Raw genomic sequence first — 27,506 nt, 5'->3', positions numbered from 1 at the left:
GTCCTCGCAGTAATACTAGGGAGGTGGGAGGATCATTTGAATCCGGGAGGCGGAGGTTGCAGTGAACTGCACCAGCCTGGGCGACAGAGTAAGATCCTGTCTTAAAAAAGAGAGAGACTAGGTCACACTATGTCACCCAGGCTGGTCTCCCAACTCTTGGGCTCAAGCAATCCATCCGCTTTGGCCTCTCTAAGTGCTGGGGTTGCAGGTATGAGCCATCGCGCCCGGCAGGCACCCAGTTTTTGTCTTTACTTTTTCTACCATATCCCTGGAGGGGGAAACTTTAGGTGAATATTGCCTGAAGGCAGAGGAGTAAGAAAAGGAGCAAAAACCCAAGGGATTCCCTGAAGTTGCTTTTTGAGTAAATCACGGAATGTTGTACACAGCAGACAGCTGTTGCTCACAGGAGTGAGGCGGGTAGAAAGGTTCAGGAAGGTCTTCTGTGAGGTAAGGGGTAGTCTGGCGCTTTTGCACTTAGGAAGGTAAGTTCGGTGTTTTGGGAATACATTAGCAAGGTTGAGATTGTGGAGGGCTGCTGGTTTTTCATTCAGCAGCTTTACTGAGCACCTGCTGTGCTTTGCAGTCGGGTTCCAGCCCTGAGGAGCTCATACAGGCTGAGTCAGCATACTCATCATCCGGCAAGCGCCTTGAGAGACATCTCGCCAGTGGGGTGTCTCTCCATAAACACACGAAGAAGACATCCTTTCAGGGTTAAATTAGCAGGGGGATAGCTAGGTAAGCAGTCATGAAGTTCTGACTTCACAGTCTTTCTTTCCTTCCCTTCCCCTTTCCTTTTGAGGGAGTCTCGCTCTGTTGCCCAGGCGGGAGTGCAATAGCGCAATCTTGGCTCACCACAGCCTCCACCTCCTGGGTTCAAGCGATTCTTCCACCTCAGCATCCCAAGTAGCTGGGATTACAGGCACCCGCCATCATACCCGGCTAATTTTTGTAGAGATGGGGTTTCACTGTGTTGGCTAGGCTGGTCTTGAACTCCCAACCTCAGCTGATCTGCCGGCCTCGGCCTCCCAAAGTGCTGGGATTGCCGGTGTGAGCCACCACACCCGGCCGGCCACAGTTTTTCTTTTACCTCTTTTGTGTCCCAACTTTTTGTTGGGATTTAAGCTTTTTAGAAACGATGTTGCAGACTTCAACTAGGAGGCATTCTGGGTCATTTAGCTTATTAATCTGAAGGTGCTTGCTATGCAAAGGAAGGCAAGATTAGGTAGAAAATGTTTCTTGGGATATTAATACTACTGCTTGTGCTTTAATCAGATTCTCAGAGCCTGCTATGCTTGTTTGGAGACAGTTATTTAAATATAAATAAATAGCAGATATCTGTGTCATATAACTTGAATGATCTGTAAACACACTATGGGAACTTCCCTGATAATGGTTGGTTGGCCATGTGAGAATGTGGGAGATAGTGCCTAGGAATAGTAAATAGGATCGTGAGAGACTGAGGATACAGCTTCTTATGTGACTTGTTTAGAGAACAACCTTCTTTCCTTCCATCTATCCATGGCTATTCATTTGACCATATATATTTAGCTAAAGTCTGTCCTAAAATTAGTTTTATTCCCCAACTCTACATCTCTGTGGCTATCCTGCTTAATCTAAGCTTCATTTGTGGGTTTTTTTTTTTTTTTTTTTTTTTTGGAGACAGGATCTCACTCCGTCACCCAGGCTGGAGTACAATGGCGTGATCACAGCTCATTGCAATCTCCACCTCCCAGGCTCAAGTGATTCCCTCACTTCAGCCTCCCAAGTAGCTGGGAGTGCAGATGTGCATGCCACCACATTGGCTAATTTTTGTATTTTTTGTAGAGTTGGGGTTTTGTGATGTTGTCCAGGCTGGTCTTGAACTCCTGGGCTCAAGCCATTCACCTGCCTGGGCCTCCTGAAGTGCTGGGATTACAGGTGTGAGCCACCGCTCCCAGCCCTAAGCTTCGTTTGTAAGTGAACTACTTCAAAAGGTTCCAATTAAAAGTTTGCTTTTAACTTTTCCTCCTAGATTTTGCTCTCTCACAGCCTAATTTCACAGTTTCTAGTGTTCCCTTTAAGACATCAATCAGATCATGTCTCTCCTACTCTTCTTAATACTCCTGCCCCTCAATGCCCAACTCTCACACTTCTCCGTAATCTTAAAATATATTCCAGTTCTCTGTTAAGTATTAACAGGGTGTGGGCCCCACTTAACACTTCGAGCTTATTTCCTACTTTCATTCACTGTGCCCCTGCCACACTGACTTTTTTGCGTTCTTTGTGTGTGCCCGACATGCTGCTACCTCTGCGTCTTTGTCCCTGCAGTTTCCTTGGCCTGGAACAGTCCTCCGCTGTTTCTCCACACAACTGACCCACTTTATTCACTCAGTGTCTGTTCAGTTGTCATCTCATTAGAGAGCATCCCTCACTGGAATATAAACCCCATGAGGGCAGGAACTTGGTCTGTTTTGCTCACTCCTGTATCTCCCAGCTTAGAATCATGGCTGTGGTTGAAGGAATGTATGAATTTATTGAGCATCACCTGCTAGCCATCAAGAAAAGTTGCCTGGATACATCCTTAGCCTCTTGTCAAGCAAACTGGCTGGTCCACCTTTTATTATACTCTGCATAACCTAAGTCTGCTAGGAGCTACCTAACCTACTTTTCATCCAGCCCATTTTTGTTTTAGCAACTAAAATACAATGTTTAAGGCCGGGCACGGTGGCTCACGCCTGTAATCTCAGCACTTTGGGAGGCCAAGGTGGGCGGATCACTTGAGGTCAGGAGTTCCAGACCAGCCTGACCAACATGGTGGAACCCCATCTCTACTAAACATACAAAAATTAGCCAGGCATGGTGGCATGTGCCTGTAATCCCAGCTGCTCAGGAGACTTGAGTCAGGAGAATCACTTGAACCCGGAAGGTGGAGGTTGCAGTGATCCGAGATCGCGCCACCGCACTCCAGCCTGAGCAACAGAGACTGTCTCAAAAAATAATAATAATAAAATAAAATGTAGTGTTTAAGAGCTCAGACTCTGCAGCTGGACATGGATTTAAATCCTAGTTTAAGCTGTGATCATAAGCAAGTCAATTAATTGCTGTCAGTCTCAGTGTCCTCAGCTTTAAAAGGGGGATCATCTGTAGCTCACAAGTAGCTGTGGGAATCCTAGGATATTTCTCAGTTGCAGGAAGAGCCTTTTTCCACAGCGCCTAATGTTTCTTCCACAGCGACTGATGCTTTTCCCACAGCGCCTGATGCTTTCACCCTGGTGCACAGTCTTTCTCTTGAGTCTCCTCTAAAATCACTCTCCATTTCTTTTCCTCAGTAAAAGTAAAAATTGAAAAAAATGTAATTTTTTTGTAAATAGTATATTGAACAGAAAATTTATCATAAACTTTTGTTAGCTTGATGGAATTTGATCAGAAAAATACTTTTGACAACAACCCAAGCAAAATGGGGAAAACATTCCATGTCCTGGGTATTCATTGACCAACACAATAGTCACTAGCCACATGTGGCTACTTAAATTTGATTAAAATTAAATAAAATTTAAAATTAACTTCTCAGTTGTACTAGTCCTATTCCAAGTACTCAGTAGCCATGTGGCTAGTAGCTCCCCCTAATGGACAGCACAGATTAATAGAACACTTGCACCATTGCCAGAAGTGCTTTGGATAGTCCTGTTCCAGAAAATGCTTCATTAGTGGAGGCTGGTAGAAATAAGGAAAGAAGGAACTTTGCTGTTTCCACTTTTTTTTTTTTTTTTTGAGTTGGAGTCTGGCTCTGTCTCCCAGGCTGGAGTGCAGTGGTGCGATCTCGGCTCACTGCAAGCTCCCCTCCCAGGTTCACACCATTCTCCTATCTCAGCCTCCCGAGTAGCTGGGACTACAGGCGCCCGCCACCAAGCCTGGCTAATTTTTTGTATTTTTGGTAGAGATGAGGTTTCACCGTGTTAGCAAGGATGGTCTTGATCTCCTGACCTCGTGATCCGCCCGCCTCGGCCTCCCAAAGTGCTGGGATTACAGGCGTGAGCCACCGCGCCCGGCCCTACTTCTGAAATTTATCTGTTTATTGTTTTACTTATTGAACAAATGTCCCAGGTCATTGATAATTATATATAGTCCAGAGACCTCTTAAGGACTGTTCCTTTTATACCATTCTTTTCTTTTCTCTCCCTTTCCTGGTGACTACTGTCACCAGCTGTAGCTGTTAGCTTTCTCCTTGTGAATTATTTTTACTGAGAAATAAAATTTATCCATTAGTGGTTATGTCAAAGTAAAGCTACTGAATTGTGCTGAGATACACAGGATTCTGTCACTGGCAAGGTGATTTGCTGTAGGCAATTTGAGATACTATCATGATTTACAGCCTTGCTGAACCAAATGAGAAATTGCTATGTCCCCAGAATCTCCTGTTGAACCTGTGGTATTTATTGAACTCCATCTGGTAAGGTACTGTCGGGAGGAGGAGATAACCATGGAATGGGTATAGAGGGAGAAGTAATTGATAGTTAAATACGAATAGCCAGAACTAAAGCTTATTCACAGGGAGTTCTGAAGTCTAGGAGGGGAGATAAAAGAAATTGTATATGAGAAACTATATTTTAAGGTGAAGGGTAAAAAATGCTTAGGAGTTACTTTGAAAACTCAGGGAGAGATTTTTTAAGGAAGTAATGGGGAATGTATTTTGGATAATCAGGGAAAGTCTTGTTGCAGGAGACATTGCTTGAACTGAGCTTTGAAAAATGGCCCTCCTTTGGACATGGGGACATGAGATTGAGGAGAGGTCACTGTTCTAGGTGGAAGGAATTAGTGGGATGTGAAGTTGGAAGAGTATGTTAAGGGCCAGATTATTAAGGGCATTGGTTCAGCATTTGGATTTTATTCTGAGACTCATGGAGCGATACTACCGAAAGGAATCAGCCACGGTAGCGACAGAACAGGAATTGTGTGAGGCATGGCGAAATGACTGCAGTGTAGAGGATGGATTGGGAAGAAAGGAAGTCAGAGAGCAAGCTGTAGCAGTTGATGGTGAGCCATTTGGTAGAGGCTGTGGGGCTGGTGAGGACTGATGGGAGAAAGACCACAGAACGTATGAAAGACAGGACTTTTGAAACCTGGTTGAATGTTGATGAGAGAGAATCAAAGATGACTCAAGTTCTAGGTCTGGATGACTCAGACAAATGGCTGAGCTGCTAAGAGGTAGAGGAGGAATAGATTGGAGAACAAGTATTTTGACCTCACTTTTGGACATATTTGCTTTGCCCAGTATACTTCTATGTGGTGATGTCTAAGTTGGAAGTGTTTCCAGTCAGGAGTTTGGGGTGGAAATGGCTAGTTAGCTAATATTTGTTATGCATCTCTTATGAAACCAGCCCAATTGTCACTGCTATACACGGTGAGCTTTTGAAAGATGTGTAAGTCATGCCACCAACTGTAACATGAGGCAGACGAACCTAGCAGAGTTGAATTGCATTCAGGAAAAACGTATTTCACGGTAGGTGCAAGCTACTGTGCCAGAGATGACAAAATGAGCAAGACACAACCTTAACCTTAATGGAACTTGCAGAACAGAGAGGGGAAGGCAAAGTATTTCAAATAAGCATGCATGTTGCTTTCTAGTTATACCAGGTTTTCTCTTCTATATTCATGATTAATGGCACTACTTTTCAGCCAGACTCTCAAGTCAGTCACCAAAAAGTTATCTCCGACTCCCCCCAAGATCTGCATCAGTCACCAAATCCCCCGGATGCTGTACACCTCTCACATCTGTGCTTTCCTCTCTCCCTCGTTCCATTAGTACATAGTTCTCAACCTGGAGAACCCTGCACAGTACAGTTAACCTGGGAGTTTTTTCTTTTTTTGAGATGGAGTCTCGCTCTATTGCCCAGGCTGGAGTGCAGTGGTGCGATCTCAGCTCACTGCAGGCTCCACCTCCCGGGTTCACGCCGTTCTCCTGCCTCCGCCTCCTGAGTAGCTGGGACTACAGGCGCCCGCCACTGCGCCTGGCTAATTTTTTGTATTTTTAATAGAGACGGGGTTTCACTCTGTTAGCCAGGATGGTCTCGATCTCCTCAGTTCGTAATCCGCCCGCCTTGGCCTCCCAAAGTGCTGGGATTACAGGCATGAGCCACCGCGCCTGGCCACCTGGGAGCTTTTAAACATCCATATTTGTGGGCTGGGCGTGGTGCCTCACACCTGTAATCCCAGCACTTTGGGAGGCCGAGGCGGGCAGGTCACAAGATCAGGAGTTTGAGACTAGCCTGAGCAACATGGTGAAACCCCGTCTCTACTAAAAATACAAAAATTAGCCAGGCTTGGTGGTGCACTCCTGTAATCCTAGCTATTCGGGAGGCTGAGGCAGAAGAATTGCTTGAACCTGGGAAGCGGAGGTTGCAGTGAGCTGAGATCGCGCCATTGCACTCCAGCTTGGGCGACAAGAGTGAGACTCCGTTTCAAAAGAAAAAAAAAAAAGAAAAGTAGTAGTGGTGGTAATTAATCACCAGTGAAGAGCTTTTCTAATCTGATGCCAAGGAAGATAGTATTTTCTGGGAAGCTGACACTTTAATGAAATATTTTTTTGTGGAAGATCCTAATATAAGCCTGGAACAAAAAATTATTCTTGTAGTTCTCCAAATAGAATGTTATCACAGCCTTTACAATCATTTCTCTTTTATCTAATGGACATAGTTAAAGCAGAATAGGTATAAAGTCATTTAGTCATTAAAGAATTACATGAAGAGACTGGGCACGGTGGCTTATGCCTGTAATCCCAGCACTTTGGGAGGCCGAGGCCAGGGGATCACCTCAGGTCAGGAGTTCAAGACCAGCCTGGCCAACATGGCGAAATCCTGTCTCTGCTAAGAATACAAAAAAATTAGCTGGGCATGGTGGCAGGCGCCTGTAATCTCAGCTGCTTCAGGAGGCTGAGGCAGGAGGATTGCTTGAACCCGGGAGGCAGAGGTTGCCATGAGCCAAGATCACACCATTGCACTCCAGTCTGGGCGACAAGAGAAACTCTTGTCTCAAAAAAAAAAAAAAAAAAAAAGAATTACATGAAGAACACTAATTCATTGCTAAAGTTTTGGCTAGAATAGAAGAACTATAGGAGTGTAGAGAAAGGAAATGCCAGGGTGATGTGAATCTAGAAAGACTGAATACAGTGTGGGTTAGAACTGGAGTGGCTGGAGGGGAGTAGAGTGCATTTACTATAGGAAATGAAGGAGCTCATTTAATTCCTGGATTAATTAATGACTAATCTTGGTGTTCTGATACTGGAGCTGAAATCTGGCATCATGGTGTTAATGGGATGCGTTCTGGCTTAAGACCACAAATCTTGAGTCTGTCTTCTGCTAATTGTGTGATTTTAGGCAACTCACTTAAGTGAGTTTCACTGTTAGTATATTACTTTTTCAATATAGTTAGAATCTGAGATGATGAATGTGAAGAACTTAACTGCCATAGGAGACATAAAAAATATTAATTCCCACTTTCTGTCTTATTGCAAAATATTACAGGAAAGTGTACATTTCCTTTTACTCCATAGAATGATGTTGACACTAATCTAGCAAAAAGTTACTAGGGCATTAAAATCTTTTACTATACAGAATTTTTTGTTTGTAAGTATAGGTGTTTTAGTTTCATGTGGCTGCTGTAACAGATTTCCACAAGCTAGATGGCTTAAAACAACAGAAACGTGTTCTTATGATTCTGGATGACAGAAGTCTGATTGAAATCAGTATCACTGGGCTCAAATCAAGGTCTCAGTAGGGCCCTATTCCCTCTGGAGGCTCTAGGAGAAAATCTTTTTCCTGATTCTTCCACCTGCAAGAGGCTGCTGACATTCCTTGGCTATTGGCTGCATCATTCCAGTCTTCAAGGACAGCATCTTCAAATTTCTCTCTGTTCTGTGTTCACAAGACCTACTCTGAGTGGGTCAGACTCCCTCTGTGCCTTCCTTTTTTTTTTTTTTTTTTTTTTTTTTTTTTGAGATGGAGTCTCACTCTGTGGTCCAGGCTGGAGTGCAGTGGTGCGATCTTGGCTCATTGCAACCTCCGCCTCCCAGGTTCAGGCGATTCTCCTGCCTCAGCCTCCCGAGTAGCTGGGACTACAGGCGCCTGCCACCACACCTGGCTAATTTTTGTATTTTTAGTAGAGATGGGGTTTCACCGTGTTAGCCGGGATGGTCTTGATCTCCTGACCTCGTGATCTGCCTACCTTGGCTTCTCAAAGTGCTGGGATTACAGGCGTGAGCCACCGCGGCCAGCCCCTGCTCCCTCTTACAAGGATACATGAACAGTTACGTGCTGCATAATGATGTTTTGGTCAATGCAGAGACACTTAGTTGTTGTTGTTGTTGTCATATAAGGTAACATTCCCAGGTTCCAGGGATTAGGATATTAGTATCTTATGGGGGTGTCATTTTTCTGCCTGCCATGGTAGGTAAAGTCGTGTAGTTTATTAAGTCAGAAGATGTCTGAAATTCCTCTGTGTGCAGTTTCTGAATGCTCAAAGACCACGCATGCCACATGGTTCAAGATACTACCAGTGAAGTGAATAAGATGGTTTCTGGGCTCAAGAAACTTCTTCAGTGAATCAGAATGCCACATTAGGAAACTGGTACTTTTGTAGACAGTGGGGAACCAGCTGAAATTGTTTGGTTAGGTGAGCTGTGTTTTAGGAAGATTAATAACGATGTGTGTGGGATAGAATAGAGAAGTAGAAGGATGAGAAGGGCAACAGGAATGATGCTAAGGCCTCAAGGAAATGTTGGTGTGATCAGCAAGGAATAGAAAGATGTCACGGTACATCCCAGAGGAAGGAGTTTGTTGTTAGATTTATTGAGGTGTAATTGACAAACAATAAAATGTACCAATTTAAACTGTCAGTTGACAAATATATACAGTCATATAACCACCAGCACAATCATGCTAGAAGATTTCTATCACCGTAAAAAGTTCCCTTGACCTCCTTTGCAGTCAGTCCCATTCCCCTGGCTTCTGGCAATCACTGATTTGCTTTCTCTTGCTATAGTTTGCCTAGTATGGTTTGTTGTTGTTGTTGTTGTTGTTGAGATGGAGTCTGGCTCTGTCGCCCAGGCTGGAGTGCAGTGGCTTGATCTCAGCTCACTGCATCCTCTGCCTCCTGGGTTCAAGCGATTCTCCTGCCTCAGCCTCCCAAGTAGCTGGGATTACAAGTGTGTGCCACCCTGGTCCGGCTAATTTTTGTATTTTTAGTACAGACAGGGTTTCACCATGTTGGCCAGGCTGGTCTCGAACTCCTGACCTCAAGTGATCCTGGTTTGCCTACTATGAAACTACACTTTCATATGGGGTCATACAGTATGTAGTCTTTTTTGCCTGGCTCCTTTCACGTAGCATATTGCTTTTGAGATACATCTGTACCTCATGTGTCTGGTATCAGTCCCTTCTGTTTTATTGCTGAGTGCTCTTCCATTATATGGATGTGTGACAGTTGTGTCTGTTTACCAGCTGGACATTCCGGTTGTTTCCAGTTGTTATGAATAAAGCTTCATTGAACATTTAAATAGAATTCTTTGTGTTTATTTTGAGGAAATAACTGGGAGTGGAATTGTTGGCCATAAGGCAAGTATATGTTTAGCTTTATAAGAAACCATCAAACTGTTTTCCAGAATGGTTATGCCATTTTGCATTTCCATTAGCAATGTATCAGGCTTCTAGCTTCTAGTTCTCCAATTTTTTTTTTGTTTGTTTGTTTTTTGTTACCCAGGCTGGGGTGCAGTGGTATGATCATAGCTCACTGCAGCCTCGAACTCCTGGGCTCAAGCAGTCCTTCCATCTCAGCCTCTCAAGTGGCTAGGACTGCAGGTGCACACCACCACACTTGGCTAATTTTTAAAATTTTTTTGTGGAGACGGGGGTCTCACTCTGTTGCCCAGCTGTTCTCAAACTCCTAGCTTCAAGCTGTTCTCCCGCCTCAGCCTTCCAAACTTTTGGGATTATAGGTGTGAACCACTGCGCTTGGCCTAGTTCTCCAGATCTTTGCCATAACTTTTTAATTTTAGCCATACTAGTAGGTGTGTAGTGGTATTTCATTGTGATTTCAATTTGCATCTTAATTACTAATGATGCACATCTTTTCATGTGCTTATTTACTGTACATTTATCTTGTTTGGTGAACTCTCCAGTTTTTTTGCTCTTTTTTATCGGGTTGTCTTATTGAGCTGTAAGAGTTCTTAATATAATCTGTATACAAGTCTTTTTTTTTTTTTTTTTTTAAGACGGAGTCTCGTTCTGTTGCCCAGGGTTGAGTGCAGTGGTATGATCTCAGCTCACTGCAACCTCTGTCTCCCGGATTCAAGTGATTCCCCTGCCTCATCCTCCCTAGTAGCTGGGACTACAGGCGCACGCCACTGCACCCAGCTAATTTTTGTGTTTTTGTAGAGACGGGGTTTTGCCATGTTGGCCAGGCTGGTCTCAAACTCCTGACCTCAAGTGATCCATCCACCTTGGCCTCCCAAAGTGCTGGGATTACAGGCTGGGAATGAGGCGTTTTTTGTTGGATGTTTTGCACATATTTTCTCCCAGTCTGTGGCTTGCCTTTTTATTTTTTTATGACTTTTCAAGAACAGTTTTTAAAATTTGGTAAAGTCAAATTTAGCCATGTTTCTTCTGTAATTTTTTTTTAACAGTTTATCTTTGTTTAATCTGAGGTCACTAAGATTTTTGCTATGTTTTAGTCTGGAAGTTCTGTAGTTTTTGTTTTTTTTTTTTTTAATTTTTATTTAATTTTTAAAAATTTTACCTGTCAATGATTTGAAGCTCATTTTTAAAAATTGTTTTCTTTTTGTTTTTGTTTTTAAAGAGACAGGAAGATGGGGTTTCCCAGGCTGGAGTGCAGTGGCTATTCACAGATGTGATCATAGTGCTTTATAGCCTCAAACTCCTGAGCTCAAGTGATCCTTCCTCCCCAGCCTCCTGAGTAGCTGGGACTTCATCTGACTCTAGAAGGGCTACAGTTTTAACCCTTACGTTTAGATATGTGATTTTGAGTTAGTTTTTATATGTAGTGGTGTCTAGGAATAGGGATTTGCGTTTTCATATGGATCTCCAATTGTTCTGGTCCCATTGTTCTTTCCTCATTGAAATGCCTTCACACCATTGTCAGATCATTTGTATAAGTCAAAGTCTATTCCTGGATTCTGTTATTTTCCATTGCTCTGGATATCTATCTTGATGCCAGTTTGATGCTGTCCTATTTACTGTAGCTTTATACACAGCCTTGAGTCAGGTAAATGCTAAACCTTTTTCTTTCCCCTGCCCAGAATTTTTTTGGCTATTCTAGGAACTTTGCATTTCCACCCAAATTTTAGAATCAGCTGTCTGTGGTTATGCATGCATGTAATCCCAGCAGTTTAAAAGACCAAAGTGGGAGGATCCCTTGAGGCCAGGAGTTCAAGACCAGCTTGGGCGCCATACTGAGACCCTGTCTCTACAAAAAAATTGGCCAGATGTGGTGGTGCTCACCTGTAGTTCTAGCTGTTTGAGCCTAGGAGTTCGAGGCTGCAGTGAGTTATGATCAGGACACTGCACCCCAGCCTGGGTGACAGAGGGAGACCCTGTTTCTAAGAAAAAAAAATTAGAATCATTCTTTCAAATTCTACAAACACAGTTTGCTGGGATTTTTATTGGGAAGGTATTGGATCTATAGACCAATTTGGAGAGACCTGACATCTTAACAATATTGAGCTATTGAGCCTTCCAATCCATGAGCGTAGTATATAACTCTCTGTTTATTTAGGTTGCCTTTCATTTCTGTCAGCAGTGTTTTTATAGTTTCAGTGTGCATGCATTGCACATTTTGTTAAGTTTATCTCTAAATATTTTGTATGTTTGGTATACTATTAAAAATGCATTATCATAGCCCGTACATTGGTAACCTAGAGCTTTGATAACATGAAATGAAGTAGGAAGAAGACTTTGATTTGAGGAAGATATGAAGTTTGATTTTGGACTTGTCGAGTTTATAGTAGCAGTCAGTCATTCTTTCAGCAGGAGCTGTTGAAGGAAAGAGAGATTTGGGTCCATTTTTATAGCAGTGACAGTAAAGTATGGGTATGCATGAGACCATGTTCAGGGAAGAAAATTTAGAAAAAGTTCAGATGTAGGTCTGCACCTTGCAGCACTGTGCCGTTTTAGAAAGTGGGTAGTCAGAATAGGAGGTGAAGGGTCTGTAACAAGGTTAGGAAGAAAGCTAGAGTACAGAGTTAGGAAGCCAAAACAAGAGTTTTAAGAATGGGGTGGTTGAGAGTCGGAGGCTACAGAGAGGTTGAGGAGCTTGAAGAATAAGGAAAAGGTCATCAAAGTGGGTGATTTGATCATTGTGACTATTTAGTAGAGTGATGTGGGTTGAAGCCAAGTTTCAGAAGGTTAGGGAGGTAAGGCAGGAAGTAGTGACCAAAGAGGACTCTTAAGAAATGGGTGGAGAAGGCAAAGTGTATGATAGACTGCGCAGTCAAGAGCATAACTGTGGAGAAGAGATGTTTGTCTAGGGGTGGGAGGCATTACTGTGAGCCTGTTTCTGAGGGTGAGGAGGTAAGCTTGGAGACAGGCATATCTTGAAGATGCAGTGGCTGCTGTTGTGGATTAGAGTTTGGTAAGAAGTGAGAGGTTACAGAATTCTAGGTGTTCCAGATAGATAAACTGCTTTCTTCCCTTTTCATTTGGCTCTGGCTGTCATTTTAACGTTCTAATTCTTTAAAATCACCAGCAGGGGGACAGGGCTTGTATGGCCTCTCAGCCAAATCTGACCTGAGACCTGTCGACTTGTTTTTATGCAGTCCTTAAGCTAAGAATTTATTTATATGTTATAGATGTAACATATAAAAATAACTTATAAATATTAACTATATTTTAAATATTTTAACCTGGTTGAAGAAAAATCAAAACAATGTATCATGATGTGAAAATTATATGAAATTCCATTTTCAGTGTTCATAAATAAAGTATTTTTAGGGAAACAGCCACATTCATTAATTTGTACTTTTGTGTTCCAACTGGCAGAGTTGAGTAGTGCCCCAGAGACTGTATGGCTCCCAAAGCCTAAAATATTTGCTATGTGGCCCTGTACGGAAAGTATGCCAACTCCTGACCTAGAAGGAAGAGTGTTCTAAAAATCATTCTTGGTTTCTCTTCTGACTGTGCCATATAACTTCTGAAGAGGTAATTTGCTGATTAACTACTTTTTTGCAGTAGACATTGCACTCTTTATTTTAGGCTATTTGTAATGAATGAAGATTTTTTTGTCTTAAGCATGTTTTGTTAACTCAAGAGTGATGAACTATCAGAAAGAATACTTATTGAAAGTCTGATCATAGACTGCACTCATGGAGAACAGATAGGTATTATTTGGAAAGAAATATGAGAAAATTGGAAGTTTCTGGCATTCTTCACTGATACTTAGCGTAGCTTTTTTGGTGAAACTCTAGGTTTTATCTATTATTTAAATTTCTAGGTTTGCTCTCCTCTCCTCTCTCCTCTCCTTTTTTGAGACAGAGTCTTGCTCTGTCACCCAGGCTGGAATGCAGTGGCATCATCTCTGGGACTACAGGCATGCGCCACCATGCCCGGCTAATTAAATTTCTAGGCTTGCTTTTCAAATGAAAGTTGGAAGGGGACAAAGAAAAAACCACGGCTGAAAACTGGTCACTTGATGAAGAATAAGTAGGCAGAGGAGTAGCAGCAGCGGTAAGCCTTACTAAACCAGACACTGTTCCGAGTGATTTAACCTATCCTAATGACTTTACACGTACTTCTCTGACAGTGGTCCCCAATCTTTTTGGCACCAGAGACTGGTTTCGTGGAAGACAGTTTGTCCATAGATGGGGTAGGGAAGGGAGTAGTTTCAGGATGAAACTGTTCCACCTCAGATCATCAGGCACTGGAGTCTCATAAGGAGCATGCAACCTAGATCCCTCGCATGCGCGGTTCACAGGAGGGTTCACGCTCCTGTGAGAATCTAATGCTGCTGCTGATCTCACAGGAGGCGGAGCTCAGGTGGTCATGCTGACTCGCCCGCAGCTCACCTCCTGCTGGGTGTGGCCCAGTTCCTAACATGCCACAAACTAGTACCCGTCCACGGCCTGGAGGTCGGGGACACCTGCTCTAAGATAGTATCATTAGTCTCATTTTCCATGTGAGAAGACTGAAGCACAGAGAGGAAGTAAGTAACTTGCCCAAGGTCACACAGCTAGTAAATGGGTAAGCTGGGGTCAAACCCAGTCAGTGAGACTCTGGAATGCGAGCTCTGGGCTATCAGTGTGCAGGGAGAATCTTGCAACACAGGACTGACTACCCCGGGTTGCCTTTCTAAGAATTGTAATAATAGCTAATATATTTTGACCACCTACTGCAGAGCAGGTTGTATTCTAAGGTTATTACATGTATTAGTACTTTCAGTGTTTACAACATCCTTGCAGGTGAAGAGAATGAGTCACCTGCCTAAGGTGTATCAAAACTAGGCAGTAGTGGGGCTGGGCTTGATCCCAGTCAGTCTGGCCCTAGAACCTGCACACTGTAAATTCTCTCTCCATTTTGCTCAGAATAATGTTGTACTTTTTCTTGTAAGAACTGTACAGCTTGGTGACACTTCAAGGACACATTTGCATTGCTGTTTGTAAGCAGACAGTATTCCCCACGGGCTGGTAATGTCTCAGCCATAAGCACTCCTCCATTATACTGTGAAATGGTATGGCAATTGAAGTAGCGCTGGTAAGTGCTCATAAGCTGCCTGAGTGCATTAGTGATCCTTTGGGTTTCCCCCGACAAAAGCTGCCGGGTGGGGGAGCATCTGTAATTTTGTGACTAAGAGCCCCAAATCATGCTAAAGCCCTCCTTTTATCTAGCTTCTTCTCTGCTCATTACCTTGGTAGTTTATATCTTGTGTCATTGTCCAGGCAGCTGCTACATATTTGAATCAGGAATTCTGTAGAGAGACTGGGGCTGTTGCTGTAGATTTTGGAATTTATGTGTATAACTGATATTTAAGGAAATGTGTATGGTTTCCTAGAGAGCAGAGAGGGGGAAGATGGCTGAAACAGAGCTTTCAGGATCTCCTCCATTTGAAGGCTTAGATAGAGGAATCAGCAACTTTGCAGTCATTTTTTTTTCTTTTTCTTTTTCTCTCTTTTTTTTTTTTAAGACAGGGTCTCTCTCTGTCACCCAGGCTGGAGTCAGTGGTGCGATCTCAGCTCACCACAACCTCTACGTCCTACCAGGCTCAAGCGAGCCTTCTGCCTCAGCCTCCTGAGTAGCTGGGACTACCGGTGCCCACTACCACCCCTGGCTCATTTTTGTATTTTTTTGTAGAGACGGGGTTTCACCATGTTGCCCAGGCTGGTCTCAAACTCATGGGCTTTAGAGATCCTCCTGCCTGGGACCCACAAAGTGCTGGGATTACAGGTGTGAAACACCACACCCAGCCTAGATTGCCCTTTTAACTCTTAAAAGAGGCACCTCCTAATCTGCCAAAATGCTTAATGCATAAATATTTGCAGATCAACAGTTTAAGTGAAATGGAAATGGAAATTCCCCAGCCAGCTATAGTCATGCTGGGTTGGAGGTCTTGAGGAGCAAAAGATTTAGGTTGGCTAGAATATGGTGTGATTGAAACCAAGGTTAGAGGGTTCAGGTTGCTTATGGAAGAAAAGGTTACCACTGTGGAAACTTGGGGGCTGTCTCTTGGCAAGTGGGATATAATTTTGTAGCCACCAGGTTGAACTAGCAAGATGTGGTATATACTATAGCCATCCTTTTCAGCTGACTTGCATAGCATCTGGTGAGTGGCTGATACTATTGTCAGTGAACTCTTGGAGGAGAGGGCGAGGCTTGGGCTCATAATTATTTGTATTTCTCGTAGAGAAATATACTGTGTTTATGTACTTTGTCTGTTTGACAAATCTGTTGACTGATACAAGCTTAAAAGGAGAATCTGACCAAGAAAATAAAAGATCGAAACCTTCTCTTGCATTTTCTGGGTCCAGTATGCTACAAACAAATACAGGCTTTATTTAAATCTTTTGAAGTAAGATACTACTTTTCTGGAACATTTTCTTTACACTAGCTTAAACCAGGAGGTCTCCTGCCACACTCCATTTGTATCCCCTATCAGAGTGCTCTCAGGGTTTACTGCGTTGGCTTAATTGCCTGTCTTCTCTATTACTCATAATTTTTTTTCTTTGGTTGTTTTTTGTTGTTGTTGTTTGTTTTTTGAGACGGACTGTCCTCTGTCACCCAGGCTGGAGTGCAGTGGCACGATCTTGGCTCACTGCAACCTTCACCTCCTGGGTTCCAGCGATTCTTCTGCCTCAGCCTCCTGAGTGGCTGGGACTACAGTTGTGTGCCACCACACCCAGATAATTTTTGTATTTTTAGTAGAGATGGGGTTTCACCATATTGGCCAGACTGATCTTGAACTGACCTCATGATCTGCCCGCCTCAGCCTCCCAAAGTGCTGGGATTACAGGCATGAGCCACCAGACCTGGCTGGTTGTTTTTTTTTTTTTTTTTTTGAGACAGGGTCTTGCTCTGTTGTCCAGGCTGGAGTACAGTGGCACAATCTCGGCTCTTTGCAGCCTGAACCTCCTAGGCTCAAGGGGATCCTCCTGCCTCAGCCTCCCAAGTATGGACACCTCTGGTCCTAGCTACTCTGGAGGCAGAGGCAGGTGGGTCGCTTGAGCCTGGGAGTGCAAGACAACGTAGCCCTGGCAACATAGCAAGGCCCATCTCTCCAAAAAACTTAAAAATTTATAGCCAGGTGTGATGGCACACACTTGTGGTCCCAGGTACTAGGGAGGCTGTCAGGAGGATCACTTGAGCCCAGGAGTTTGAGACCAGGCCTGGCAACATAGTGATACCCCATCTCTACAGAAAGTTTAAAATGTAGCCAGGCATGGTGGTAAGCACCTGTAGTCCTAGCTACTCTCGAGGCTGAGGTGGGAAGATCACTTGAGTTCAGGAGTTTCAGGAGTTTGAGTTCAGGAGTTTGAGGCTGTGATGAGCTAGGATTGTGCCACTGCGCTCCAGGCTGAGTGACAGAGACCCTATTTCTTTAAAAAGAAAAAGAAAAGATTGGGAAAGGATGCAGGGAAGCACGTGAAAGAGACAGAGAACCAGAATCAGAGGATGGTATTGTGGTTGCTGGAGTAAGAGAAGGGATGGACAACAGTGCAATGTGGTGTCAGAGGTCTAGGAGGAGAACCACTGGCAGGAGTCCATTGGACTTGGCAACTAGAGGGTCATAGGTGAGAGGAGTTTCAAGGGGATGGTGGGGACAGAAGAGGGAATGGCAGGTGAGACAGTGGTGTATGGTAGCTAGAGATGGCGGGGCTGAGGATTTCAGATGTGATGTGGAAGTGGGATGCTTTAATAGATAAGAGACTTAAACTGGCTCGTATGCTGACTAGCAGGACCCAGGTGAAAGAGAGACTGGAGTTCGGAGATGGGGTGGTTGATGATAAAGAAAGGTCCTGAGGATCGAGGAGAGCGATCAGATTTAGGGAGCACATGGGGGATTAAACTTGGGTAGGAAGGAGATACCCTTTCTGAGGAAGCAAAGGGGAGATGGGAATCATTGCTGGGATGGTGGGAGTTATTGGCAGTAGCTCAGTTTTCTCAGGGTGTTGGCATGGAATGAGGCAGGTTGGATGGGAGATGGGCTTGAGGGCAGTGTCAAGATTTGGAATGTCTGTGATGTGGAAGAGGGAGGGGTGAAGGGACCAAGGCCCGGAGGATGATTGTAGCAGCAGTGTGGAGCCGTAGAGACCTTGATTGATAAAGCTGCCAGTTTGCATGGTTGCATAAACCCCCTATCTCATCCCTTCTCAAGACTCCAGAGCTCAGGTGAAGGAGAAGTTTCATGACGGCTTCCTCAGGGAAGCCTTTCCTGACCTTTTCCATTAACTTGCTTTATAGGCTCTCATAGCTGTTTTTACCTTCTAGCTCTCTAATGTAGAGTTGTAATTTTGCATTTGACTGTTGTAATTATTTTAATTATAAATTATAACAAAAGTTATTTGACTTATGGCTGGGCATGGTAGCTCATGCCTACAATGCCAGCAGTTTGGGAGGCCAAGGTGGGTGGATCACTTGAGGCCAGGAGTCTGAGACCAGCCTGGCCAACATGGCAAAACCCTGTCTCTACTAAAAATACAAAAATTAGCTGGGCGTGGTGGTGCCCACCTGTCATCCCAGCTGCTTGGGAGGTTGAAGGAGGAGAATCGCTTGAACCCAGGAGACGGAGGTTGCAGTAAGCCAAGATTGTGCCACTGCACTCTAGCCCAGGCGACAGAGTGAGACTCTGTCTCAAAAAAAAAAAAAAAATTGTTTATCTTTGTTTTTCTCAGTAACTCAGGGCTCCAGTGACAGGTATGTCAGAGTGCACTTACCATCGTGCAGCGCCCAGCGCCTCGTGAACACTGATAAATGCTTGTTGAATTTAGTTAATCAAATACGGTGGTTCTCAACCTTTTAACCTGCCCCAGCGCACCTGCGGAAGATGGCATGCCTCCATCTGAACCATTATTGACTGCCCTGATCCTCACCTGAAGGAGGATAGGTGCCAGGGTTGGAGAGCATAGTTCATATGATTACAGACCCTGGAATAAGAATGTTGGGCTCAGATCCCAGCCCGTCCTCTCACCAGCCTTGCAACTCAGGGGAAATCTGTAACCTCCCTGTGTCCCAGTGTCCTCCTCTATAAAATGGGGCTGGTATACAGCAGTACCTACCTCATAGGCTTGTCATGAAGATGACATGAAGCTGGGCACAGTGGGATGTGCCTGTGGTCCCAGCTGTGGGAGGCTGAGGCAGGGGGAACAGTTGAGTCCAGGAGTTTGAGTCTAGCCTGGGCAACATAGTGAGACCCTCATCTGTTTAAAAAAAAAAAGAGGCTGGGCGCGGTAGCTCATGCCTGTACTCCCGACACTTTGGGAGGCCGAGGTGGGTGGATCACAAGGTCTGGAGTTTGAGACCATCCTGGCCAACATGGTGAAACCCCATCTCTACTAAAAATACAAAAAATGAGCTGGGCATGGTGGCATGTGCCTGTAGTCCCAGCTACTCAGGAGGCTGAGGCAGGAGAATCGCTTGAACCCAGGAGGCGGAGGTTGCAGTGAGCCCAGATCGCACCACTGCACTCCAGCCTCATGACAGAGCAAGACTCTGTCTCAAACAAACAAACAAACAAACAAAAAACAAAAAAAGAGAGAGAGATTAAATGAGGGAATTTATGTAAAGCATTTAGAAGAACATGTGAAAATTAGGAAATTGTTGTTACTGTTAGTGGTTTCAAAAAATCTAGGTGATTTTGGTAGCCTTTTCTCCTGGAGAATTCCTGGCTTTATGGTGAAGGATTTTGTGGGGCAAGTGCCTGTCAGCATCTTTAGGTACATCTCTTCATTGTCATATACTGTATAATATTGAGCTTCTGAGAGGAGAAATCCCTGTAACCATGATGGTCTTCCTGGTTCAGTGACCAGCACCCTGAAACAAAGCCATTCTTTTTTTTTCTTTTTAATGAATATTTAAAAACGTGGAGACAGTACGTTGCCCAGGATGGTCTCAAACTCCTGGGCTCAAGTGATTCCCCCTGCTTTGGCCTCCCAAAGTTTTGGGATTACAGGTGTGAGCCACCGTACCCAGCCGTCAAAGCCATTCTTGATCCTGTAGGACTATCACTAAGAAAGAGTGGAACGGTCAAGTGGCCAGTCACTTTGGGAGCTTTCCTGTCTATGGGATGAGGGATTAGTGAATGCCACCTGCTTTCCAGCAGCCACGGTGAACTTGATTCTTCGTTTTCCTTGCAGAGGAGGTGGCCAAGTTGGAGAAGCACTTGATGCTTCTGCGGCAGGAGTATGTCAAGCTGCAGAAGAAGCTGGCGGAGACAGAGAAGCGCTGCGCTCTCTTGGCTGCGCAGGCAAACAAGGAGAGCAGCAGCGAGTCCTTCATCAGCCGTCTGCTGGCCATCGTGGCAGACCTCTACGAGCAGGAGCAGTACAGGTGGGAGAGCTCCTAGACACAGAAGGCCCTTTGGCTTTATTCCTGGGCCACACTACAGCTTTTCTCATTCACTTTCTTCCAAAATTTATTTATCTCTAATGAGGATATTAGCAAATCGATTCCCTAGAATAGAAGCTCCTTGAGGCAAGATTTTTTTTTTTTTTTTTGAGTTGGAGTCCTGCTCTGTTACCCAGGCTGGAGTGCAGTGGTGAGATCACGGCTCATTGCAGCCTCTGCTTCCCAGGTTCAAGTGATTCTCTTGCCTCAGCCTCCCGAGTGGCTGGGACTACAGGTGCCCACCACCGTGCCCGGCTAATTTTTTATATTTTTAGTAGAGACGGGGTTTCAACATGTTAGCCAGGATGGTCTTGGTCTCCTGACCTCATGGTCCGCCTGCCTCGGCCTCCCAGAGTGCTGGGATTACAAGCGTGAGCCACCGTGCCGGGCCCGAGGCAAGATTTGTGTCTCTCGTTCACTGCTTATCTTCAGCAAAGAGTGCGGGAGTCATGGTGATAGCATTGCTAATCAAGCAGGAATTGACTTACCTGTCTAGGAATTCAGAGGGCAAAGGTCCGTTTCTCTTGAGATGATCAAAGCAAAACAGTCTTGGAACTAGTTGGAGAGTGCATCATGATGGTTGAGGTTGAACTCTGGAGTCATACAGCTTCTGTTAGAAGCTCAGGGCTGGGCACGGTGGCTCATGCCTATAATCCCAGCACTTTGGGAGGCCGAGGTGGGCAGATCACGAGGTCAGGAGATCATCCTGGCTAACATGGTGAAACCCCGTCTCTACAAAAAAATATAAAAAATTCGCCGCGCATGGTGGTGGGCACCTGTAGTCCCAGCTACTCGGGAGGCTGAGGCAGGAGAATGGCGTAAACCCGGGAGATGGAGCTTGCAGTGAGCTGAGATTGTGCCACTACACTCCAGCCTGGGCGACAGAGCGAGACTCCATCTCAAAAAAAAAAAAAAAAAAAAAAGAAGAAGAAGAAGAAGAAGCTCAGCTGGCGACTTATTAGCTATGTGACTTCAATCTATATGACATACCTCAGGTTCCTGATCTATCAAATGAAGTTACTGCTGCTACTTACCTTTGGGCTGTTGTGAGGATCAAATCAATAGATGCATGTTCAGCACTTGGAACACTGCATAGCACATAGTAAGCGCTCAGTTGTTAGCTGTCGTTTTTCTTTTTAAAACTTAAATTGTTTTCACTGGTTATAGCGGCAACAGGATGTTAGCTTTTGTTATTAAGTGAGTTTTGAGGTAGATGTTAAAGGCTGGATAGGGTTTAATAGGTAAAGACAGTGGTATTACAAGTAAGGGCAGTAACTGAGAAAAGCCTCAAAGATGAGGAAATACAGAGGATTTAGATGACAGGGAGGGGGCCAGTTTAGGGTACTTGCCCATGTAGAGGAGCAGTGAGAGGTGGGAAAAGCAGGGTAGATTGCATTAGGATGCTCAGGTGAGGAGTTTGGACTTGGTCTTCTAGGAAGTAAAGCTGTGTGTTTTCCAGTTTGGGGACTGTCATAATCAGGGTGGCGTTTTAAGAAGATTAACATGTGCCTGGGCGCAGTGGCGCATGCCTGTAATCCCAGCAGTTTGGGAGGCCGAGGCAGATGGATCACCTGAGGTCAGGAGTTTGAGACCAGCCTGACCAACAAGGTGGCACCCTGTCTCTACTAAAACTACAAAAATTAGCTGGGTGTGGTGGTGGGTGCCTGTAATCCCAGCTACTTGGGAAGCTGAGGCAGGAGAATTGCTTGAATCTGGGAGGTGGAAGTTGCAGTGAGCTGAGATTGTGCCACTGCACTCCAGCCTGGGAGACAGAGAGAGACCCTGTCTTAAAAAAATAAATAAATAAATAAATAAAGATTAACATGCTAATGTTGGCCAGGCATGGTGGCTTACGCCTGTAATCCCAGCACTTAGGAGGCCAAGGCGGGCGGGTCACCTGAGGTCAGGAGTTTAAGACCAGCCTGGCTAACATGGTGAAACCCCGTTTCTACTAAAAATAAAAAAAATTAGCTAGGTGTGGTGGCGGGCGCCTGTAATCCCAGCTACTCGAGAGGCTGAGGCAGGAGAATCGCTTGAACTCGATAGGCGGAGGTTGCAGTGAGCCGAGATTGCGCCACTGCACGGCAGCCTGGGCAACAGGGCGAGACCCTGTCTCAAAAAAAAAAAAAAAAAAGGCATGCTAATGTCATCTAGGTGAAATTGTAAAGAGAAAAGAGCAGGGTGAGCACCTGTGATGTTGCGTATAGTCCAGGACAGCAATGATGAAAGACTGAATTGGGGTGCTGGATGTGGCAAAGAAACACAGATGTGAATGTACATAAGAAGGAAGGACTTGAGCCACTAGGGGGATAGAAGCTCAGTCTACATAAGACTTAGTAAAATTTCCACATAATTATGACATTTTAAATAGATCGCTCACACCTGTAATCCCAGCACTTTGGGAGGCCGAGGCAGGTGGATCACCTGAGGTCAGGAGTTTGAGACCAGACTGACCAACATGAGGAAACCCCGTCTGTACTAAAAATACAAAAATTAGCCACATGTGGTGGCACGCGCCTGTAATCCCAGCTACTCAGGAGGTTGAGGCAGAAGAATTGCTTCAACCTGGGAGGTGGAGGTTGCAGTGAGCTGAGATTGTGCCACTGCACTCCAGCCTGGGTGATTGAGTGAGACTGTCTTAAAAAAAAAATCAAAATTTCGAGGATGCAAATAACAGTAAAATAACTCAGGATTCAAAACTGCTATCAACTTAGCCCTTTCTAAATAAAAGAATAATCTATTACATAAAAAAGGAAGTATATATTCTGAGTAAAGGATAGTTCCATAAATTGAATAGATGTAGCTTCTTGTGAAATATAATCCATCGTCTTTTTTTTCCTCTTCTTCCATGAACAAGTGAAAACTTTGTTTCTTACTGGCCCAGGGAAGCCTAATGTTTTTCTGTTACAGACACATCTCTCCTACTCTTTGAGGCTCTTTCCCATTAGAATGCCCATCATTTAGTTTCTCAATTACTTATCAATTGATTAGTAATTTTATTTTGCATTCATTGTGTTGAAGTCCTTCTAGGAGACAATGGGAATGAGACTGGGCAGTTTTCTTCCTGTCACCTTTTAGCTAGTTATGGTATGATCTTAGGACTCCCAACAAGTCTCCCTTCAGCTTCTAAAACCTGCCCTAGGCCGGGCGTGGTGGCTCACTCCTGTAATCCCAGCACTTTGGGAGGCTGAGGCAGGTGGATTGCTTGAGGCCAGGAGTTTGACACCAGCCTGGCCAAATGGCGAAACTCTGTCTCTACTAAAATTACAAAAATTAGCTGGGCGTAGCGGCACATGCCTGTAATCCCAGCCACTCAGGAGGCTGAGGCAGGAGAATTGCTTGAACCCGAAGGTGGAGGTTGCAGTGAGCTGAGGTCGTGCCACTGCACTCCAGCCTGGGGGATGGAGTGAGACCCTGTCTAAAAAAAAAACAAGGCTGGGTGTGGTGGCTCACACCTGTAATCCCAGCACTTTTTGAGAGGTTGAGTTGGGCGGATCAGGAGTTCGAGACTAGCCTGACCAACACGGTGAAACTCTGTCTCTACTAAAAATACAAAAATAGGCGGAGCGTGGTGGCGCGCACCTGTAATCCCAGCTACTCAGCAGGCCGAGGCAGGAGAATCGCTTGAACCTGGGAGGTGGAGGTTGTGGTGAGCCTGGATTGTGCCACTGTACTCCAGCCTGGGCAACAAGAGTGAACTCCATCTCAAAAAAAGAAAAAAAAAAAACCTGCTGTTTATCTAAAGAAGATTGAAACTCTATGTTATCTACAGTTAAATATCAGATAGGGAATGGAGTCTTCATAGGGGACTAAGCTGTCGAGATGTGGTAACTGAAACTGAGGAATCAGTTTCTAAAGCAGACATCTTTTACCAACGTAGGGGAAAAAATACCTTTATCCCATAACATGCATTTTGTTGAAAGATTTAAATAGTATTTTTATGTACATCTTAGTAGCCGGAATGACTGATGTGTAGGTTTTAAAATTTTTTAAGTTGAGAAATGTGGAAGAAACTGGTAGCCTTTTTTTTTTTTTTTTTTTTTTTTAAATAAATAAGAGACAGAGTCTCACTCTGTTGCCCAGGCTGGTCTCAAACTCCTAGTCCTGGCCTCCCAAAGTGCTGGGATTACAGGTGTGTGCCACTGTGCCTGGCCTACATTTCAAGTTCAGGAGAACAGTTTTGTCCCATAAGGTAGTTAAAAACGATGGCTATGTGTAGTCATTTACTGTACTCATTCTTTTACCAAACAAACCTATAGTTTTTCCTATTGAAGTGTCTGAGAAACTAACAAGAAACTCTTTGCCTCCTCTCCAGTTACAACATTCTGGTTTCCATGTTTTAAAAGGAAATACTCTTTAATTGAGTGGAATCAAGTTTTTTAAAAAAATTACTAGGTCCTTAATTGTTTCAACATAGAATCCTCATGGACTGGACTTGTTTGATTTTCTGGTTTTCATTTGTGTTTTAAAAAATTATTATTGGAAATTATTGATGAAATCCTTATCTTTATTTCCCTTTGATATGTCAGATTACAAAAGATAGAATTTTGACCTGACATTCATGAATGTGGTAGAAATTTTCTAGAAACATTCATTTTTGTAATTTTGTGGCTAAAAGTTATACTCGTGGTTGAAACAGTACAGACTGAAAATCTGTTTAAGTTATTAGGATGTAATACTTTATAAATATATATAGAATTTAAAAATTATTTGTACTTTGTAGGTAACTTCTTGTTTTCATTAAATTGTTTACACTTTGTCACAGGTTGTGCTGATACAGTTTGATGTTCTGTTTTGCATAGAGTATTCTGTTTCTTCTTTGACCATTAATAATGTTCTACTGTGTTAACAGCAGTTTGTAATAATTTGAAATAATAAATACTCTCTTAATCTTGTGATCTAATATCCATTGGTTATAGCTTGGTCTTTGATAGAACTAGAATTGCCGATACTTTCAAATGATGATTAAGTGTATTCTAGACAATACTCTTGTAGCGTAGAATGTGTCTCTGTCAAGCATTATATACAAACAATATTCTGTTTGGGTTTCCTCTTTTTTTTTTGAGACAGAGTGTTGCTCTGTTGCCCAGGCTGGAGTGCAGTAGCGCGATCTCGGCTCACTGCAACCTCTGCCTCCTGGGTTCAAGCGATTCTCTTGCCTCAGCCTCCTGACCAACTGGGATTACAGGTGCCTGCTACCATGCTTGGCTAATTTTTGTATTTTTAGTAGAGACGGGGTTTCACTATGTTAGCCAGGATGGTCTCAATCTCAACCTCGTGATCTGCCCACCTCGGCCTCCCAAAGTGCTGAGATTTCAGGTGTGAGCCCCCACGCCTGGCTTGGGTTTCCTTTTAAATGGATGGGTTAATTCATGTAATGGTATTTTTTTTTCTTTTTCTTTTTTTCCATATAGTGGTTTTTGTGTATTTAGTTTCCAAAGACTTTCCAACCTAGTAAATAATTTTAAAGTTGAATATGAAAATAAAACATATAACTACAAGCAGGATGATGACAGTGACTTTGGATTCCTGCCAGCATAGCCATACGGCATGTGTTCGTGTCAGCCTAGTGGGTCATCTTGACGTTTTTGTTAACTGCCCAGATGCTCTCCTCCAGTAGTATTTGACATTTCAGAGTTAAACATAAATATCTATTTGGGAAGATCTTTTCATATAATGGCATGTCATAATTATGGAAACATGTTTTGAAAAGAAAGCTTTTTCCTCACCCCATTTTTTATAAGTAGTTGAGTAAAAAATGGTCAATATTAGGACTGAATGTTTCTAGTGAGAACAGGAGTCCAGATACTGGGTTTCATGTTCATGACTGCTTGTTAGTTTGTTCACGGTTTTTCTGTTTAACCTTGCTTGAGCGTTACTGTGGAGCATAGTAGCACTGTAGTCTCAGAGTTGTCATCACCATCTTTAACCTTTCTGTCTTTCTCTCCCTGATGGTTTAGCTTGTTTTAGTCTATATAAAATATCCTCTACTTTTTATGTGAATATTAATCATCCTACTTAACTTGTAGGTTCACCACCGTAAGAATCCCATGAGAAGATGTATTTGAAAGCAGCGCATGCCATGTGAATTAAAGCCAGAATTTATCAATAGAAAACATTTCTAGCAACATACTATAAAGATGACTCACCAGAATTCAGTGCTAGCATATAGGAATAATTCTTCGCTGTAATTTTTTCTTTTGCAGATGTATGTTGATGAATACTCATGTGTTTATCAGCTGTGAATCCTAGCTATACCTAGTTATGATGACATTTTTCTAATATATGTGGATCTTTTTCTTCATCAGCGATCTGAAGATAAAGGTTGGGGACAGGCACATCAGTGCTCACAAGTTTGTCCTGGCAGCCCGCAGTGACAGCTGGAGTCTGGCTAACTTGTCTTCCACTAAAGAGTTGGACCTGTCAGGTGAGCCTTTGAGTGATCAGGGACACAAAACTGCTAGCGGAAGGGCTCTTGGCAGAAGGTTGTGGTGTCTCATTTTGAAATATTTGTGATTTAATGAAAGTAAAATAATTAAGCAATTGATGGCAACCATGAACTAGTTAAATAATTAATGAATCAGCAGGTTGTACTTTTAGGTACTTTGTGTACCTACCTATTTAGGAGGTAATACCTGGCTAACAAATCGTAAATATTTGAGTATCTGCAATGTCCTTATGATTTATAAAATGTAAGTGTTTTTCCGTACACTCATTTCATGAAAAAATATGCTGTAAATAAGGATTCATGTCCAGAAAAAAATTTTCCCTCAAGTCTAATAAAAAGTCCTGCTGTCAAATTGCTTAAAACTTCATGCTAGATGCCAAAGGACTTTTTTTTTCTTTTTTTTTTTTTTTGAGACAGAGTCTCACTCTGTTACCCAGGCTGGAGTGCAATAGTGATCTCGGCTCTCTGCAACCTCCACCTCCCAGGTTCAAGTGATTCTCGTGCCTCAGCCTCCCGAGTAGCTGGGATTACAGGCACCCACCACCACACCCAGCTAATTTTTGTATTTTTAGTAGAGACAGGGTTTTACCATGTTGGCCAGACTGGTCTTTATCTCCTGACCTTAGGTGGTCCACCCACCTCAGCCTCCCAAAGTGCTGGGATTACAGGTGTGAGCCACCGTGTCTGGCCAAAGTACTTTTTCTAGTTTATCAGAACTGAACTCAGAATAGTTACTCTGAAGAATAACAATATTCTTTCTTTAACATCAAAAGATGACCATTAGCCTTCAGAATTTTAATAGGTTTGGGTTACTATGTGAGATGGTGGATATGTTAATTTGCTTCACCATAGTGCTCATTTTACTATATATGTATCCCACAGCATTGTGTCGTATAGCTTAAATATACACAATACAATTTGTTTTTAAAAAAAGAATTTTAAGGCCGGGTATGGTGGCTCATGCCTGTAATCCTAGCACTTTG

At 43.6% G+C, this 27,506-nt stretch overlaps 1 protein-coding gene across 9 annotated transcripts in view; it reads left to right on the top strand.

The window, feature by feature from the left end:
• Nucleotides 1-27,506, top strand: part of ANKFY1 (ankyrin repeat and FYVE domain containing 1) — a 100,159-nt gene that overhangs the window by 1,706 nt on the left and 70,947 nt on the right. For 6 of the 9 annotated variants that reach the window (NM_001330063.2, NM_016376.5, XM_017024733.2 and 3 more), the window contains exons 2-3: nucleotides 19,826-20,018; nucleotides 26,384-26,502. In NM_001330063.2, the coding sequence (NP_001316992.1) occupies nucleotides 19,826-20,018; nucleotides 26,384-26,502 (312 nt within the window). Of the gene's footprint in view, nucleotides 1-13,025; nucleotides 13,185-19,825; nucleotides 20,019-26,383; nucleotides 26,503-27,506 lie in introns of all 9 variants that reach the window. The other 3 variants (XM_047436223.1, XM_047436224.1, NR_047571.3) reach the window with 3 other exon arrangements.

This window comes from Homo sapiens, chromosome 17 (genome assembly GCF_000001405.40).
Source record: "Homo sapiens chromosome 17, GRCh38.p14 Primary Assembly".
Taxonomy (NCBI): Eukaryota; Metazoa; Chordata; class Mammalia; order Primates; family Hominidae; genus Homo; species Homo sapiens.
This window is presented reverse-complemented; position numbering and strand designations above follow the sequence as displayed.